Genomic DNA, 19,838 nt, shown 5'->3' with positions numbered 1-19,838 from the left:
ACTAAAATACCAAGTGGTACTGTTAGTTGGATGATGAAATGACTTAATCTTGTTGCCTTGGTTACTTTGTTTTGTCTGTTGTAGATCAAACAAGATGTAATGTTTGGATCTTAGATGGAGACCTATATCACAAAGGCCTCCTTAAATTTTCACTGGATGCCGTATCTCTGAAGGATACTCTAGTTATGCTGGTTGTTGACATGTCAAAGCCTTGGACTGCTTTGGATTCTTTACAGAAATGGGCAAGTGTTGTTAGAGAACATGTTGACAAACTGAAAATCCCTCCTGAAGAAATGAAACAAATGGAACAAAAGTGTAAGTAATCTAGAAACAGTAATGTAGGTTTCAAATACAAAATGTCTTGGCTGACTTTAATCATTAGGAATTTTTGACTATAAAAAAGGTTTAATGAAGTAAGCATATTGTAAGTACTTTTTTTTTTTTTTTGGAGACAAGAGTCTTGTTCTGTCACCCAGGCTGGAGTGCAGTGGCGCAATCTTGGCTCACTGCAACCTCTGCCTCCTGGGTTCAAGTAGCTGGTATTACGGGCACCTGCCACCATGCCCTGCTAATTTTTGTATTTTTAGTAGAGACGGGGTTTCACCATATTGGCCAGGCTGGTCTCGCACTCCTGACCTCATGATCCACCCCACTCGGCCTCCCAGAGTGCTGGGATTACAGGCGTGAGCCACCGGCCCAGCCTGTAACTACTGTTTTTAAAATTCTCTTTAGATGATGTGCTAGGTTTTAATATAGTTTCAAATTAGAAACATAAGACACAATGGTAAACTGTTTAGTAGAGATGCCTTTTCTCCTTGCCAAAAAGCTGTGTGTGTTCATTTTGGAAAGTAGCTTTGCAGGGTGAAAAGATTGAATCTTTCTTCAGCTGCTCATTTTCAGCAGTTTCATTTTTTAATTCGTAATCTTACTGACCTTGTCAAAATGAAATGTGCCTAGAAAGATGTTGACAGTATACATATAAAGATATTAAAATGGTTTTATGATTTATAAAGTACATATTTTGTACATGCCTATGTGAATTGGAGATTTTTATGGGAATTATGAAAATTGTATGAGTCATTTCTAACAGGTTGTAAGCCAGCAACATTTTTTATTTTTATTTTTGAGTCAGGGTCCCACACTGTTGCCCAGGCTGAAGTACAGTGGCACAATCTTGGTTCACTGCAACCTCTGCCCGCCCCCCCACCAGCTCAAGCCATCCTCCCATCTCAGCCCCCTGAGTAGTACAGGCACGTACCACCATGCCTGGCTAATTTTTTTTATTTTTTGTAGACATAGGGTTTTGCCATGTTGCCCAGGCTGGTCTTGAACTCCTGAGCTCAAGCGATCCACCTTGCTCAGACTCCCAAAGTGCTGGGATTACAGGCATGAGCCACCACGTCCGGCTGCCTGTAACATTTTTTAATGTCACTTAGAGTTCTTCATTTGCCAATATTGTGCTTTGCATAAGAAAATACATAGGTGGGCCAGGCGTGGTGGCTCACGCCTGTAATCCCAGCGCTTTGGGAGGCTGAAGCAGGTGGATCACGAGGTTAGGAGTTCAAGACCAGCCTGGCCAAGATGGTGAAACCCTGTCCCTACTAAAAATACAAAAAAAAAAAAAATTAGCCCAGCATGGTGGCGGGTGCCTGTAATCCCACCTACTTGGGAGGCTGAGGCAGGGAATTGCTTGAACCCAGGAGGCGGAGATTGCAGTGAGCTGAGATTGCGCCACTGTACTCCAGCCTGGGCGACAGAGCAAGACTCCGTCTCAAAAAAAAAAAAAAAAAAAGAAAGGAAATACATAGATGAACTCCTTTGTTATTATTCACTGACAGTAACTTTTAAAGAAAAATTGACAGCTTGCTGGAATTTATGTGTAAGAAAACAGTAAAAACTTAAAATGTATGTAGTAAATCATTGAAAGAGATGTCTAAATGCTTTTAATTTTTTTTTTTCTGTTTACTATTGCCTGTGGAGTTTTTGTTGTTATTGTTCTTCCCTAAGTCTAGATTTATCCTAGAGTAGTAGTTGTTGAACTGTGGTTCCCTGGACCAGCAGCACCAGTATCAGTATAGCTGGGAACATATCAAAAGTACACATTTTTCACTCCCCATCCTGGACCACTGAATTAGAAACTCTTGAGGGTGGAAACAGTAATCTGTGATGTAACAAGCCTTTGAAGTGATTCTGGTGCATGATAAAATTTGACAGCCACTATTAGATTACAGCCTCTGATCTTAAGAGTGGTAGTCACCAGGGCTGCTAAGGGTACATACAGACCCCTGTGTTTCTAGAGGAACGGTGCCCACCTGTTCGGGATTCCCTATTCCTTGACCCCATGTAAATTCAGAACAGTTTTCCTCCATATGAGTCAGTCTTCATGATCCAAAGATCTGGCTCATAATTACTTTAAGAGAAAACACACATTTTTTTTCTAAGTAAGTAATAATGTACATTCTTTGTTTTTTGAAAATTGAAAATAGGGCTGGGCGCAGTGGCTCACGCCTGTAATCCCAACACTTGGGGAGGCCAAGGCAGGTGGATCACAAGTCGGGAATTCAAGACTAGCCTGGCCGATATGATGAAACCCCGTCTTTTCTAAAAATACAAAAATTAGCCAGGCGTGGTGGTGGGCGCCTGTAGTCCCAGCCCCTTGGGAGGCTGAGGCAGGAGAATCACTTGAACGCAGGAGGCGGGGGTTGCAGTGAGTGAGATTGCGCCACTGCATTCCAGCCTGGTGACACAGTGAGCCTCCATCTCAAAAAAAAAAAAAAAAAAATTGAAAATAGCCGGTCACAGTGGCTCACCTCTGTTATCCCAACACTTTGGGATGCTGAGGTGGGAGGATGGCTTGAGCCCAGAGTTTGAGACCAGCCTGGGCAACATAGTGAGACCCCATCTCTACAAAAATAAAAAGTTAGCCAGGTGTGGTGGCACATGCCTGTAGCTACTCACTCGGGAGGTTGAGCCAGAAAATCACTTGGGTCAGGGCTGTAGTGAGCCATGATTGCACCGCTGCACTCCAGCATGGGTGACAGAGCAAGACCCTGTCTCTAAATAAATAACTAATACTTTTGTGTATTTTTCCCAGTATTTTTATTTCTAAGCTGGAATCATACGTTGGCCTTCTTTTATTTATGTATCTTTTAATGTTACTATTTCCTACAACGTTAAATATTCTTTGAAAACTTGACATCTTATGGTTGTGTATAATTTTTTCTCATATACTATTTTAATCCTATGCTATAGACAGTTTGTTTCCAAATTTGTTTTGCTTTTATACATGAAGAAAAGAGTTACGTGGAAATCCCTATGTATGTGCATCACTGATTGTGCCCTTGAGAATTCCTAGGCGAGTAATTACGGAGTCTAAACATACATTTTCAAGTCTCTTGATACATTCACATTTACTTTATATTTTTTAGTGACAGTTTTGACAACCTTGCAAATAACTCCTAAAAACTGATCAGCACTGGTAATATTTCATTAAGTTGTACCAGAGTTACAGAATGAGCATGGCCCAAGATTGAGCCTAGGTAAAAAAGGAGAGACCTGAGTAAAGGGTTTAGTGAAAGAAGTTAGTATTAGAAAATCATCTAGACTATCTTTTAAGTTATGGGATTTTTTTCTCCCACATTTATTTTTCTTTTATCCATACAGTGCCCTTTGTGAATTAGAGAAGGTAGAGAGACAAAACTAATTGTGACTTGACCAAAATATTTTGCATAAATTGAGCCAGGTCTAGATAGAACCCTACTTTGTAGAGCCATCCCCTGCAGTAGTAATATTCTGTCTCCTAATTATTACTGTGGGTCCAGTGTTTGTATATTCTCTTTGAAATAGGTTTCTCAAACCCTTTTTGTTTCTTCTCTTACACAAGACTAAGTATAAATTCGAGTAAATTTTATCTTTAGATTATGGCAAGAAAAGTTACCTGCTGAAATGAAGCAATTTCTAAATTGTGTTTACTTTGATTTTCAGTGATTAGAGACTTCCAAGAATATGTAGAGCCAGGAGAAGACTTCCCGGCTTCTCCCCAGAGAAGAAATACTGCGTCACAAGAAGACAAAGATGACAGTGTAGTTTTACCTCTGGGTGCGGATACACTTACACATAACTTGGGCATTCCAGTACTAGTAGTTTGCACAAAGGTTAGTTTGCTTCCTAGGGATTCTGCAACTGATATTCACTGAGGATGAACAACTGTTTTGTTTTCCAGGTTTTTTGGAGTTAACACATTAGTTCTCCTAGATGATTTTTTGTTAACAAACAAATAATAGTTTAAAGTATTTAATGATATTAACATGTTGCTTTTGTGGTCTTAATTATAGTTTCTTTGAAAGAAAATGTTATTTCAAATACTTGTGATTGAATTTCATTTTCATAATTCCAATTGAACTTCATTGTATGATCAATCAGTTTAGTAGAAATAATTACAGGTAAAATGATAGTTTATTGGTTTTTATAAAATTATTTTTCAACATTAATTTTTTTTTTTTTTTTTTTGAGACGGAGTTTTGCTCTTGTTGCCCAGGCTGGAGTACAATGGAACAATCTCGGCTCACTGCAACCTCCGCTTCCCGGGTTAAAGCAATTCTCCTGCCTCAGCCTCCGTAGTAGCTGGGATTACAGGCACCCACCACCACTCCCACCTAATTTTTTGTATTTTTAGTAGAGACGGGCTTTCACCATGTTGGCCAGCCTGGTCTCAAACTCTTGACCTCAGGTGACCCACCCGCCTTGGCCTCCCAAAGTGCTGGGATTGCAGGTGTGAGCCACTGTGCCCAGCCTCAACATTAAATTTTTATATATTCTCTAATATCAGAGGATTATATACTTAAAGTAGACTTTTAAACATGTAGCAGCACTCATTATATAAAGTTAACATGCAGTCATCAAGGGTTTCTGTTTTTTAAAGAGGTTCTGATAGGACCACTATTATCAAAATTATATTATTGGTTATTTCACTGTATATATTTTGTAATAAAATTAAGTTTCCTTTAAAAATAATTAATAGAAGGTGAGGCATGGTGGCTCACACCTGTAATCCCAGCACTTTGGGAGGCTGAGGCGGGTGGATCACGAGGTCAGGAGATCGAGACCATCCTGGCTAAAACGGTGAAACCCCTCCTCTACCAAAAAAAAATACAAAAAAATTAGCCAGGCGTGGTGGCGGGCGCCTTTAGTCCCAGCTACTCAGGAGGCTGAAGCGGGAGAATGGCATGTACTCGGGAGGTGGAGCTTGCAGTGAGCCGAGATTGCGCCACTGCACCCCAACCTGGGCTACAGAGTGAGACTCTGTCTCAAAATTAAATAAATAAATAAATACATAAATAAAAATAATTAATAGATCAGCTGGGCGTGGTGGCTCACGCCTGTAATCCCAGCATTTTGGGAGGTCGAGGTGGGCGGATCATGAGATCAGGAGATCGAGACCATCCTGGCTAACATGGTGAAACCCCATCTCTACTAAAAATACAAAAAATTAGCCAGGCATGGTGGCGGGCGCCTGTAGTCCCAGCTACTCGGGAGGCTGAGGCAGGAGAATGGCGTGAACCTGGGAGGCAGAGCTTGCAGTGAGCTGAGATTGCGCCACTGCACTCCAGCCTGGGCGACAGAGACTCCATCTCAAAATAATAATAATAATAATAATAATAGATCAATTTCATGTTCTCCCCACTTGGTCCTAAGTGTGTGTTTTTACTGTTCGTAAGTCATGGAATAGTTAAGAAAATGACAGAACATAAGTCCTTTTGAGACCTGAAATTAATGCCTTTTATTATGTAAAATTTGCACATGTAAAATTAAAGGAGGGTATAGAATTTATTCATTGTTGGAGTAAAATTGATTAAAAAATCTAAAACCTAGCTTAGGTTTTACTTTGCTACAAAAATTATCCATAACAAAGGAATGGAGTGACGGCACTTAAAATAATTAAGTTAAAGTCTGCCATCTGCTTTCAAATGGTGGTTTTGGTATAGTTAATTGTTACATACACCTTTTCTGTAAAACACTATCTTAAAATCTCACACTGAAATCCTTCTGTGTGCTTTGTTTTTTATTTTGTTTTGGTTGGTGAAGAGCTGTTTGTTTATTGGAAGTTGGTTCCATTGGTTCCGTCAGCACTACTTGCCTTATGAAAAGCAGTCTTACTTTCCAAAAGAAAAATGTTAAGCTTAAAGGGTCCGGAATCAGTATCAAATGAGTCATAGAGTCATAACATTTTCAAACCAGAATAGATCATCTACTGTATTTCATAAAATCTAAGACACTATCAGATGTATTTCAGTTTATGAACTTTTAAAATGTATAGGGGTATGGAGAAATGTGTGTTTCCAAAGGGAGAGAAGTATGGTGGTTCAACGCCATCAGTTTAAAGACTCCGGAAATGGAGATTTCTCTTAGTCTTAGAAACTTAGTCTCTCTAAGTTTCTTGTCTTAAGTCCAGATCCTCTGATTTCAGTTAAAAAAAATTTTTTTTTTTTTTTATATGGAGCCTTGCACTGTCACCCAGGCTAGAGTGCGGTGGCGCAATCTTGGCTCACAGCGAGCTCCGCCTCCTAGGTGCACGCCATTCTCCTGCCTCAGCCTCCCGAGTAGCTGGGACCACAGGCGCCCGCCACCATGGCCGGCTAATTTTTTTGTATTTTTAGTGGAGACGGGGTTTCACCGTGTTAGCCAGGATGGTCTCGATCTCCTGACCTCGTGATCTGCCCACCTCGACCTCCCAAAGTGCTGGGATTACAGGCGTGAGCCACCGCGCCTGGCCTTAAAATATTTTTATTTAATACTAAACCACCATGCCTTTCCAAAAGTGTCAATAAGTCAAAGTATAATAATTATTTTTAATCATTTGAAATCACTGTCAGTATTTGATAAAATGGGCAATGAAATGCTCCTCATAATTATATAATGAGACTCTGTTCTGTGCCGTATATATGTTTTTATTTTCATTTTTGTGGAGAGTTTTGCTATGTTGCCCAGGTAGTCTTGAACTCCTAGGCTCAATCCTCCTGCCTCACCTTCCAAAGTAGTACAGGCACATACCACTGCACCCTGTTAGGTTTTTTTTTTTTTTTTGCTATTTTATATATATATATAAATTTTATATATATATATAATAAATTATATATATATAATTATATATATATATTATATATATAAATTATATATATATATTATATATATAAATTATATATATATATTATATATAAATATATATATATTATATATATAAATTATATATATATTATATATATATTATATATATAAATTATATATATATATTATATATATAAATTATATATATATATATGTAACAAAAAAATTACATAGCAGATTTAACCCCAAACTAATATTAGGTGTAATGACCATTATTAAATGTTTATTTTTATATTTTACACCTGCAATTCAGAAGGGTTTTGGTGAAATTATTTGGATGTCGTGATGTTTGAACATGCCTTTTTTGTATTTTTCTTAGCATTTTTCTGTAGCAAGCAGAATTCAGAATTGTCTCATTGATTGTACAGGCGACATTTCAAAAATCAGTTGTAGTTTCCTTATTTTGTTATTAGTGAGATTGTAATAAGAGTGAATAAAAGCACCAGAAAAGAAATTAAGGTCACTTGAGAATTATCAGATAAACACAGGAACAAAGAAGAAATGGTGAGAAGTAGAGACTCCCTGGATATGCAGAAGTGTTTTATAAAACTAAAATAGATGTTAGATTTTTTAAAACTTTGTTCCAGGTTATAAGTAGTTGAGTTATTAGCAAGTATGATTTCTTAGAACAAGCTAGGCTTGTTATTCTTCCTTCCCTTAGGTACTAAAACTTTGTCTTTGGTGTTCTGACCAGATTTAACATTAACGTTGAAGTTAATGCTTTTTAAAAAGATAAAATTATCCATTAGTCCCTCCAACTAAAAGTTCATAGGGTACTTGATATTCTGTGTCCTGCTGTTCATTCACCATATCAGAGTGGTACTTTTATGATGTTCCCCTATCCAGAATTGAACTGTTTAAATTACTATATTTAGTTATGATTATTTTAAATGTATTATTTTTAATTATTTTAACTTAACAGTGTGATGCCATTAGTGTATTGGAGAAAGAACATGACTACAGAGATGAACATTTTGATTTTATTCAGTCACATATCCGGAAGTTTTGTTTACAGTGTATCCTTTTAAATACATTTATTGATTCAGTGTATCACTTTACCTGTTTTAGTTTTTTAAAGTTAAAAGAATTAAATTGATGGACTTGAGAAATTCTGTAAACATTTCTCCTTCTGTCTCTGGTTGGAAATTTCATTTTAGTTCCCAAATTATTTACATTTGGATATTTTGAGATAGAAAAGCAAATATTGAAGTATGTTACTTTGATTTGCTGTGTTTAAAGTATGCTTAAGAAAAATAATTACCAATTGTATGTGGAAAAGTCTAGTAAGCTGTATGTAGTTATGAACATATCTGATTAAAAAACTGTATTTATTGGTGGGTGGTAGGACAAGGTCAGTATTGTGTTTTTTGTGTTTTCATTTTTAATTTGTTTAGTGTGTTGTCATCTTCTCCACATATAGCCTAACAGTGGTTTCAAAATCTGGCTCTGCCTATCTAGACATATTGGATTGGAGTATTCCAAAGTGAGGCTGGAGAATCATCTAAACTTTAGAAACCTTCCTGGAAAATCTATCATAGAAAGTCTTGTTAATCTAGATTGCAAGGATTAGGTGAGCCAGTGAGTAATAATTACAGCTAAAATAGGGAGAAAATGAAGGTTAAAAGTGAGTACTTTTTAGAGACTTTACTGTTGAAAACTTAGTTACACCTTGAATGCACTGAAGAGTAAACTCACCAACCCTCTTGGATCAGATATTTTGCAGTTGCATTCCCCAGCCAAAGTTTTTGAGTCTGAAACATAATGAAATGATTATTAGGAATAGATAGTAATGAGTAATACACACGTTTATGGTGTCTACAAATTATAAATCATTTTCATTAGTGGGCGTTTAATTTAAGGACCACTTAAAGAAAGCCTGAATAAGATCACTTGACACTGATAGTTTCCCTTTCCCCTTTTCTCTTCAGTTCTTTCTCTTTATGGGCCTTTCTCTTCTCATGTCACCAAATGGCTGAGTTGGTTGAGTTAAAGGGTACTAGTCTACCATAGTGTCTTCAAAAATAAAATAAAAAGTGAGGGTAATTGTAGTGTAGGTATCTGTAGCCTCTTTTTTATGTTATCTTTGGGGATTAGAAAATTTGAGAGTAAACAGTCTCTTTAATCATTTATTTAATGCTATACTTAAAAATGTAAGTACAGAAATGTAATCAGAAAGGAAGCTTTCTACCAAAATAGAGACCATTAGAGCCAGTTGATTTTAAAAGAATACAAAATGTGAGAAGTCATCTCAAGATAATGAGGTATGTATTTATCAGTGACAGTGACAGTTCAAAATCACCTTTATTTTATTAAATTTTTAATTGCAATGTAAGTTTTTCAGTTACAGAAATCTTCCAAATTATCATAATTTGGTTTTCATTGTGGGGAAGAGCATTAATGCAAAGTTAATACAGTTAAACTTTTGCCTAAGATTATGTTTGTCTCTACCATGTTAAAGTTTCGTATCAAAGTAAGTTTAGTAAGTTGTATTTAGCAATACTGCTTTTAGGTTTATAAGCCTCAGGTCATGTCCCAGAAAATATGAGTATCCCAGTTAAGAAGTTAGACTGTACTCCCAGCATTTCCCCCTTGGCCTAGGTCACCATCTCCCTTGGAGAAACAAGGGCCAGTGCTAGAATGTGGATGGTCATAGAATTTCTGATAGCCACTCTGAATCCATCATCTGTCAGTGGTCACATTGTCCATGGATGTCTTAATATTTACATCCACTGTGTCTTTTGGATAAAAGGTCAAAGTTAGGCTCTGCTTTAATACATCTTGATGTGAGGTTGTGTTATTTCAAGTTTTGTCATGAAATGTGCTTTTGCCTTGGGTTATTCCTGAAAGCTTCCTAATTGGTACCTGCTGGCTCACCTTTCAACATTGGGTTTCTTTTGCTCTCTCCAGTGAGTCTCCTGAGCCTTATCCCTGAAGTCTTTAATTCCTGGGTTTTGTAAAAACTACAAAGAGACACTGTTAACACACCATTTTTGTTGAAAAGGCAAACAAAACAGCTGTTGATAAATAATATCCCCTCTATGAAGTTTAGGAAAGTTAAAACATAAAAATTGTCCTTTCATGTGCTTTAAATATAGAAGTAGTCATGGTGTCAGTATTTCTAGATTTACCTTTACTTCTTGTCTTAATGAGACTTCTGCCTTCCTAAGTTAAATTGATTATGTAAAAATTCTTTTATTAATTGTAGCCCATATGAAGGTAGTATTTTTTACTTTTGAAGTTCTTGATTACCATATAATATACCTTTGGAGTTATTTCTGAAACTAAAATGCATAGAAATAAAAGTTAAGCTGAAAACACAGAATTTTATGGTATTTGCTCATGACATTTGTCCAGAATTTTTCTTTAACCATATTATTCAGATGGTGCAGCACTTATTTACACTTCAGTAAAAGAAAACAAAAATATAGACTTAGTATATAAATACATCGTTCAGAAACTATATGGATTTCCCTATAAGATTCCTGCTGTTGTTGTGGAAAAGGATGCAGTATTTATGTAAGTGTACTCTTAAATATATAATTTTATCATGTATTATTGCTACTATTTGATGGTGAATCATTATTTCAGTTTTGAGATGGGACCAATAGACCTTCCATGATGAGAAAGTGAGAATCTATCTGTTCCTAGATTGTTTTTTGTTTATAACCTGTCTTGATTTATCTATTATTGCCTTTTAGATTTACTGCTGGCCTGAGCCCTTTTTCAAAGGTTTTTGAGCTAAACTGTCTACTGGGTGCCTATATTAGTGTATTGTATCTGCTTATTCTTTAATTGATTATGATACATAAATGACCAAATATGAGATCTAGACATGCTTTTAAAAATTACCTGGCTGAGCACGGTGGCTCACGCTTCTAATCCCAGCACTTTGGGAGGCCAAGAGCAGATCACCTGATGTCAGGAGTTCGAGACAAGCCTGGCCAACATGGCGAAACCCCCTCTCTAATGAAAAATACAAAAATTAGCCCGGGTGTGGTGGTGCACACCTGTAGTCCCAGCTACTTGGGAGGCTGAGGCACAAGAATTACTTGAACCTGGGAGGCAGAAGTTGCAGTGAACCGAAATCGCACCACTTCACTCCAGCTTAGGTGACAGATCGAGACTCCATTTCAAAAAAAAAAAAAAAAAGAAAGTTACCTGAATAGTCCAGGTGCAGTGGCTCATGCCTAAAATCCCAGCACTTTGGGAGGCTGAGGTGGAAGGATTATTTGAGCCCAAGAGCCCAAGACTAGCCTGAGCAACATCGTGAGACCCCATCTCTACCAGTAATTTAAAAATCAGCCAGATGTGGTACACACCTGTGGTTCAGCTACTTGGGAGGCTGAGGTGGGAGGATCACTTGAGCCTGGGAGACAGAGGCTGCAGTGAGCCATGGTTGAGCCACTGTACTCCAACCTGGGCAACAAAGCAAGACTCTGTCTCAAAAAAAAAAAAAAAAAGGTAACCGTATAAAATTGGGAGGTAATAATTACTGCCCCCTTCCCCCAAGTTAACACTAATGACATTTTTAATATTGGTAATCTTTTTTGAGACAGGGTCTCACTCCTGTTGCCCATCCTGGAATGCAATGGTGCGATCTCGGCTCACTTCAGCTCCTGCCTCCCAGGCTCAAGCGATTCTCCTGTCTCAACCTCCTAAGTAGCTGGGACTACAGGTGCATGCCACCATGCATGCCCAGCTAATTTTTTTTCTTTTTTATTTTTTGTAGAGATGGTGTTTTGGCATGTTGCCCAGGCTTTCATTTTAAGTAGAAATTAGTAAAACGTGGACATCATAATGAAAAGCTAATTCGTTTTCCATAATTGTTCAAATTGACTTCATGAAAGTATTCCTTTTACATGATCTTGGACTGAATGAAAGAATGACTATATAAATGCTTGAGAATTTATCATATGTATTTCTTTCCAGTCCAGCAGGGTGGGATAATGATAAGAAAATAGGAATATTACATGAAAATTTTCAAACATTAAAAGCAGAAGATAATTTTGAAGACATCATAACTAAACCACCTGTTCGAAAGGTAACCATTTTAGTAAATAATCTCAATATTTAGACTTTAGACTAACCTGAGGGGAATTCCATACTTTAAAATTAAATGTAGAAAGGCAAAAATGTCCTTTTCCATCTGGAGGGTTTCTAAGTATAATTTTGGTGTGTTTCTAATGTACAGTTTACATAAGGATTTGTTTTAGCAAAATAGAAATCAGCTATTCAGCTAATTAAATCTTCGCCCTTGGCATATTTATATTAGCAATTGTTAGTGCAGAATCCACATTCTAATATAGTGCTTTGGAAATCAGATTGGCATGAGTGAATATGTGGATCTTACAGAGTTTGAATAGGTAGAAGCTGTGAACTTTCCAACCTAGAGCTTGGCCAAGAGCCAAGAAAACATTGCTAGAATAATTCTGTTGGTTCTATCTATTGAGGCAGGTCTTGGATCTTCTCTCCAGTTAGTTACCCACATTAGCTCACAGCTATCCAAGAACTTTCAATTTTATATATATATATATATATACACACATTTTTTTTTTTTTTTTGAGATGGAGTCTCACTGTGTTACCCAGCCTGGAGTAAAATGGCATGATCTCAGCTCACTGCAACCTCTGCCTCCCAGGTTCAAGCGATTCTGTCGCCTCAGCCTCCCGAGTAGCTGGGATTACAGGCACCCACCATCGTGCCCAGCTAATTTTTTTGTATTTTTGTAGAAATGGGTTTCACCATGTTGGCCAGGCTGGTCTTGAACTCCTGACCTCAAATGATCCGCTCACCTCGGCCTCCCAAAGTGCTGGGATTACAGGTGTGAGCCACTGCACCCGGCCCAGTTTTAGTCTCGACTCTAACATATCAATCTATCCAATCAGATCCCAGAAGATACACTGCTTTCCTATATCTTGACTTCATGCAGTGTATAATGTTCTATAGATAGAGATGTTTCTGAAAGCTCTATAAAAATGAGTATTTGCATAAATAAATTGACTATCCCTAATCTGAAAATCCAAAATGCTCAAAAATCTGAAACACTTTGAGCTCCAACATGACTCTCAAAAGGAAATGCTTATTGAAACATTTTGGATTTTCAGATTACGGATGCTGAACTGATAAGTATTAATGCAAATATTCAGCAATCTGAAACACTTCCACTTCTGGTCGCAAGCATTTCGGATGAAGGATACTCAACTTGTAGTAGTTCTCACTGACTGACTTTAATCTTGACATATATATCAAGAAAAAATAATTTTTATTTAGCATATAAGAGTCTTCAGAATCCAAACACTCATAATATAAAGCATCCATCTTCTGTTTGTGGGTTATTATTAGTAATAAGAAAAGGTCAAATGAAAAATCAGTTGGTGTGGTATTTGGTTTGGATGTCTATTAAAAGAAATGCATGCATAAAAATAAAATAGCAAAAATATTTCACATTCTTTTATTGAGCATCACCTCAGGCCCTGTTTAGGTTCTAAGTGCTAAATGGGAAGGAGAGTGATACCTATAGTAAACCAATACATAGACATCTGTCAAGTAGTGATAAGTGCTACAGAAATAAAGCAGGATGTAGGGAGAGTGAGCAAGGGGACTGGGCTGTGAGGGATGCTGTATATGAATGATGGGGGAAGGTCTTTGATAAAGGGGGGAGAATGCTGAAGGCAGGGGGAACTAAAAGTGTACATGCCCTGAGGCAGAAATGTATGAGGAAGACAGAGGCAGGAAAGAGCTGTGGGGAAGGTTAAGCTAGTTGATGAGAGGCAGAAGTAAGTTACTGTGGGTCTTTATCATTAGGCTACAGTAAGGACTTTAGGTTTCATTCTGAGTTAGATGGAAAGAGATTGAGAGGTTGAGCAGAGGAGTGATGTAATCTGACTTAACCTTTTAGAAGAATCACTGGCTCCTGGGAAGAAAATAGACTGGGTATGTGTTATACAGCAAGAATAGAAGCAGGAGACTTCTGCAATTCCTTTTCCTAATTATTCAGCTCATAGAAGAGCCATTATATTTTTATTTCAGAGAAACAAGGGAGAAGTTGCATTTCACTTAACTAGGATATTACTGGCCCTTTTAAAACACCCTAACTGCTGTTTAGCAAATTTTATAAGCATGATTAATATGCTTGTGACTCTAGGGTTGTGCTGTTCAATACGGTAGCCACTTGCCTCATATGCCTTTTAAATGTAAAATTAGATAAAATTAAAAATCATTTCCTTAGTCACACTAGCCACATTTCAAGTGCTCAGTAGCCACTGGTGGCTAGTGACTGCCATATTGAACAGCACAGATATAGAATATTTCCAAAACTGTAGCTAGTTACTGGACACCTCTGCTGAAGGCCTTGGGTAGGGCAGCTCACGCATGTGAATATAAATATAGTATAGGTAATGTTCAAATTCTTGAACTGTTTTTTAATTAGTCCAATCTAGAGAATAAATTATTAATTGTGTTAGCATAATATATTAAATTTGCTCATTTGTGCATTGCTCATTTCAGTTTGTACATGAGAAGGAAATTATGGCAGAAGATGATCAGGTGTTTCTTATGAAGCTACAGGTATGAAATTATATCAGAAGCAGACTTAGTATGGTTAATGGGTAAACTGTTCTTGTGTGTATTTTCTTTAAAAATACACCAGTATATGCTATGAATGTCTAAACTAGGATTCTTTTTTTTTTTTTTTTTCAGTCCCTTTTAGCAAAGCAACCACCAACTGCAGCTGGAAGGCCTGTGGTCAGTATTACAAATTTTGACAAAATGATTAAAATGCAGTACATATTATTTTAGTTATTTTTTATTAATTATGTACATATTTCATATGGGTGTGCTTTGATATAAACTTGAATTCAGAATTCTTCTGTAATTTGTGAGATTTTAAAAGTGTAAAGATCTATTTGTAACATTTGTTGTGTGTCAATACTCAGCCATTTATATGTCATTTTACAAATTCTCACAACCGCCTTATGAGGCAGGACTGTTATTAGCCCCATTTTGCAGATGAGGAAATGGGAACCTTAGGGAGGACGTTGTGGCTTGCCTGAGATTATAAAGCTAGTAGAATACAAGTCCAGATTGGAAACCAAGTCTGACTCCCAAGCTTCTAACCATACATCATCACTCAATATGTTCTTTATTTTCTATGAGAGGAAAAATTTGTATGTTAAAATGTGATGGGCCTCTGTCTGGCATTCTCTAATAATGAGGACAGGATTGCTAACAATTTTGTCAATGGCTTGCAGTGTAAAAGTACCAGTAGAACAGGGGATAGTTGCAAAGTAATTTCTTTTTACAATAATAACTTTTGTGAAAATGAAAGTTTCAGGTTTTTATAATTGTATTTTCCTATTTTTACATAGGATGCCTCACCAAGAGTCCCAGGAGGCTCCCCACGAACACCAAATAGATCTGTATCATCTAATGTTGCCAGCGTGTCACCCATTCCTGCTGGGTCAAAAAAAATTGATCCAAACATGAAAGGTACATCTCTTTCTAGGAGATAACAAGACAATACATTTTACAAGAGAAATAAATCTATCTAAAATTCCACCTTTTGCCATAACTATTTTCATTCTTGTGTAATACCTTTTAGGCTTTGTCTCTATGGATATATAATCTCATAGTTAACCAGATTGTAAACCATTTTACAGTGTATTTGTGATGTATCATCATTTCCATGATAAAAGTTTTGTTATATTTAATCAATTTCCTGGTAGATCATTGAAGAAATTCACATTTACACTATAATAAGTAATCTGCAATTAACATAAAGGAAAAAACTATATGCATAATAGTTATTTCTGTAGGAATAATTGCCATAAGTGGGATTAGTAGGTCAAAGAGTTTATGTTTTTATGCCTTTGGATAATATTTTTTCAAATGATTATTCAACTTTGCTTATCATCAACATTGAGTGTTGCAGTTTTACCACAACCTAATTAACATGCTTTAAATACTACCTAATAAGAGTTTTTCCTCTAGTGTTTTCCTTCTATTTGTGTTTCTCTTCTGTGAATTGTTTATTGCTATCATTTGCCCATTTATCTCTGGCAACTTCTACCGGTTTTCATATAGGATTCTGTAACTTTTCCTAATACTTGAGGCAGTTTCTCAACAGTTCTATTTTTAAAGAATCCTTTTCAAAAGGGAGATATATATTAGTATATAACATCTTTTTGTTTAAAATACCTTTGGCCTTTTAAAAATAACATTCTAATTTTTAAATAATTATTTTACACTTAAAGTTTACTCATTAGAGAAATTACTCAGCATCAAAAGATCAAACTAGACTTGAATTTGGAATATAAAACTCTTAAAATTTAAGTTTATTCATTTTCTATGTGTGATTACTGTAATAATAATTTAAGGAAGAATCTTATGTTTTGGCTAAAGCTTTTTGTTTTTTTATTTTTTTATAGCTGGAGCTACAAGTGAAGGCGTTCTGGCAAATTTCTTCAACAGTTTGTTGAGTAAAAAGACTGGCTCTCCAGGAGGCCCTGGTGTGAGTGGTGGTAGCCCTGCAGGTGGGGCTGGAGGTGGAAGCAGTGGTTTACCACCATCCACCAAAAAGTCAGGTATGCTTATGGGAAGCAAGTCACTTGTTTAAAATAACAGCTTTTTTGAGATATAATGAAGTTCACTCATGTAAAGTGTATAATTCTGTGGTTTTGGTATCTTTGCTAAGTTGGGCAGGCCATCACCATAATCTGATTTTAGAACATTTTTATCTCCCCAAAAGAAACCTTGAACCTTCTCTCTTTCCTCTGTGGATTTGTCTATCTGGACATTTCATGTAAATGGAGTCATACAATGTATGGCTTTAACAAATGTTTTTGAAGGTCATACATGTTGTAATATGTATCAATATTTCATTTCTTTTTTTTTTTTTTTTTTTTTTTTTTTTTTTTGAGATGGAGTCTTGTTCTGTTGCCCAGGCTGGAGTGCAGTGGCACGATACTGCAGCCTCCGCCTCCAGGGTTCAAGTGAGTCTCCTGCCCCAGCCTCCTGAGTAGCTGGGATCACAGGCACCTGCCACCATGCCTGGCTAATTTTTGTATTTTTAGTAGAAACGGTGTTTCACCGTGTTGGCCAGGCTGGTCTCGAATTCCTGGCCTCAAGTGATCCTCCCACCTCAGCCTCCCAAAGTGCTGGGATTACAGACATGAGCCACCATGCCTGGCCTTCATTCCTTTTTAATTGCTGAATAATATTTCATTATATGGCTATACCACATTTCATTTATCTGTTTACTGGGTAATGGACATCTGAGTTTCATCTACTTTTTGACTATTATTAATATGGTGCTGCTTTGAACATCCGTTTTTGTGTGGATATTTGTTTGTAATTCTCTTGGGTAAATACCTAAGTGGAATTATTGGGTTGTGTAGTAACTCGGTTTAAACAAAGGTTTTGAAGGACTGCCAAAATGTTTTCCAAAATGCTGTATCATTTTAAATTGTCATCAGCAGGTTAGGAAAGTTCGTTTCTCCATATCCTTGCCACATTTTTATTGTCATCTGTTGTTACCACTCATTCATCTTCTCTAGATGCTACATTTTTGTTGCTATTTTCTGTTTTACCGTTCTTATTGTCCTATGCCTTAAAAAAAAAAACCTTTATGAGATTAAATGATAGGTGCCAGTTATACCTCCATTTGGTAACAGATCCACAATTTAAAATGAGGGAATTTGTTTTTTCTTGAAATTTATATTATTTTTATTTTTTAGACAGAGTCTCACTCTGTTGTCTAGGTTGGAGTGCAGTGGTGTGATCTCAGCTCACTGCAACCTCCACCTGCCGGGTTCAAGCAGTTCTCCTGCCTCAGCCTCCCAAGTAGCTGGGATTACAGCAGGGTTTCACCATGTTGGCCGGGCTGGTCTCGAACTCCTGACTTGAAGTGATCCTCCCACCTTGGCCTCCCAAAGTGCTGAGATTACAGGCGTGAGCCACCACACCCAGCTTGAAATTTTTAAATTAAGTGTTGTTTGTATAACTTAGTGTGCTAAATAAAGTTAATGAAAGTGTTAGGACTTTTTAAATGAAGAGATATTGGTGAAAACGATACTTTCACTTATATCTAAATCTTGTTTTTTTTCTTTTTCTTCAATGTAGGCCAGAAGCCTGTCTTAGATGTTCATGCAGAACTAGACAGAATTACACGAAAACCAGTTACAGTTTCTCCCACAACACCTACATCTCCTACGGAAGGAGAAGCTTCTTGAAGATACCAAATAAAGCCATTTATTCTGTTTTCTGGGATAATGTAAACATGCCTCTGCCTTTTCCTTCAAAAGTGGAATTAGAAAGCTGGAGTGCTTCTTCAGATGGACTAAATTTATGTCGTGTGTGTGTGTGTGTGTGTGTGTGGTTACCCATTTTTTAGAAGGAGCCGTACAGAAGAAAAATTATTCTACATTATGTAGGATTGCTGTTTGCATTGCCATTTTGCATAAGAAAGTAATTTTTGATTTTGAAAATCTCAAAACTTTTAGATCTGAAATACAGCCATGTGATCGATCATATTCTAAAGGCTATTTAAAACATGTAAAAGGATTTGGGGAACGGCAGAAAACATGCAGTTTGGGCATTTGACTGACTTGGAAGTCTAAGCTTATTTTAGTTATAACTATTAAAATCATTTTTAAAAATTTGTTAGTTTTGCTGACAGAGAAAAATCGTCAGTTGTCAGATTTTGCACACCACAATAAATGTACCACCACACACGGAATATGCTAAGAAAACTATCAGATAGCGTTTGATACACTAGTCATTGTCTCAATCACTGATCCTGTAAGTTGTCATCAAAATATGATTTAGAAATATTGGCCAAGGTGTTGCTTTAACTGAGGAGAAAAGAAAGCACACTGCCTAAATGTGTAAAAGAAAAATGCAGAGGTTATTAAAATGTAAAGAAGTAACAATCTTTGGATTTGTCTATACATATATATATATATATATGGCTTTGCCTTAATATACCCCCTTTTTTGTTTGTGACTTTCAACTGTAATCAGTTAATAAAGTATTTATTCTCTGCATTCAGGTTCAAATAACTTGTTGCATTCTCTTATGTTTAAATTTACATGTGTCAGCTAATAAATGAGATTCATTAGTACAGTCATCCCTTGGTATCCATGAGGGATTGGTTCCAGGACCTGCCTCAGGTACCAAAATCTACAGATGCCCAAGTCCCAGATATAAAATGGTGTAGTATTTGCATATAACATTCACATCCTCCTGTTTACTTTAAATCATCTCTAGATGATAATACCTAATTCACTGTAAATGCTATGTATATACTTATACTGTATTGTTCAGAGGAAAATAACAAAAAAAGTGCCTGTTTAGATGCAACTTTTTTTTCAAATATTTTCCTTCTGTGATTGGTTCAATCCATGGATATGGAACCCACGGATACAGAGGGCTGACTAATTTAAAATTTTCGACCTAATTAATAATATAATTATTAAGCTTTCTGACCTAAGAGATAAACGAATACACACGTGCATGTATATGAGGATAAAATGGTGTTCATGGGCATACAAAAATTTATGAAAACATTTTATCTGATAAAATATTTGAGATAAACAATGCCAGTGATAAAATCTTTAGTCCAGAAAGGGTTCTGCAAAAAGGGTGGTGTAGATTCTCTCTAAATCAGTACTCGATGA

General features: G+C 36.5%; 1 protein-coding gene across 3 annotated transcripts in view; it reads left to right on the top strand.

Annotated features, from left to right (window-relative positions):
* Window positions 1–19,217, top strand: part of DYNC1LI1 (dynein cytoplasmic 1 light intermediate chain 1) — a 44,885-nt gene extending 25,668 nt beyond the window's left edge. For 2 of the 3 annotated variants that reach the window (NM_016141.4, XM_047448246.1), the window contains 10 exons: window positions 85–315; window positions 3,985–4,154; window positions 8,087–8,180; window positions 10,545–10,680; window positions 12,094–12,205; window positions 14,671–14,730; window positions 14,863–14,907; window positions 15,531–15,651; window positions 16,590–16,745; window positions 18,283–19,217. In NM_016141.4, the coding sequence (NP_057225.2) occupies window positions 85–315; window positions 3,985–4,154; window positions 8,087–8,180; window positions 10,545–10,680; window positions 12,094–12,205; window positions 14,671–14,730; window positions 14,863–14,907; window positions 15,531–15,651; window positions 16,590–16,745; window positions 18,283–18,392 (1,235 nt within the window). In that variant the 3' untranslated portion in view covers window positions 18,393–19,217. The remainder of the gene's footprint in view (window positions 1–84; window positions 316–3,984; window positions 4,155–8,086; window positions 8,181–10,544; window positions 10,681–12,093; window positions 12,206–14,670; window positions 14,731–14,862; window positions 14,908–15,530; window positions 15,652–16,589; window positions 16,746–18,282) is intronic. The other variant, NM_001329135.2, reaches the window with a different exon arrangement.

Source organism: Homo sapiens, chromosome 3 (genome assembly GCF_000001405.40).
Source record: "Homo sapiens chromosome 3, GRCh38.p14 Primary Assembly".
NCBI classification, from domain to species: domain Eukaryota; kingdom Metazoa; phylum Chordata; class Mammalia; order Primates; family Hominidae; genus Homo; species Homo sapiens.
The sequence above is the reverse complement of the archived record's forward strand: the minus strand, read 5'-3'. Positions and strand labels throughout refer to the sequence as shown.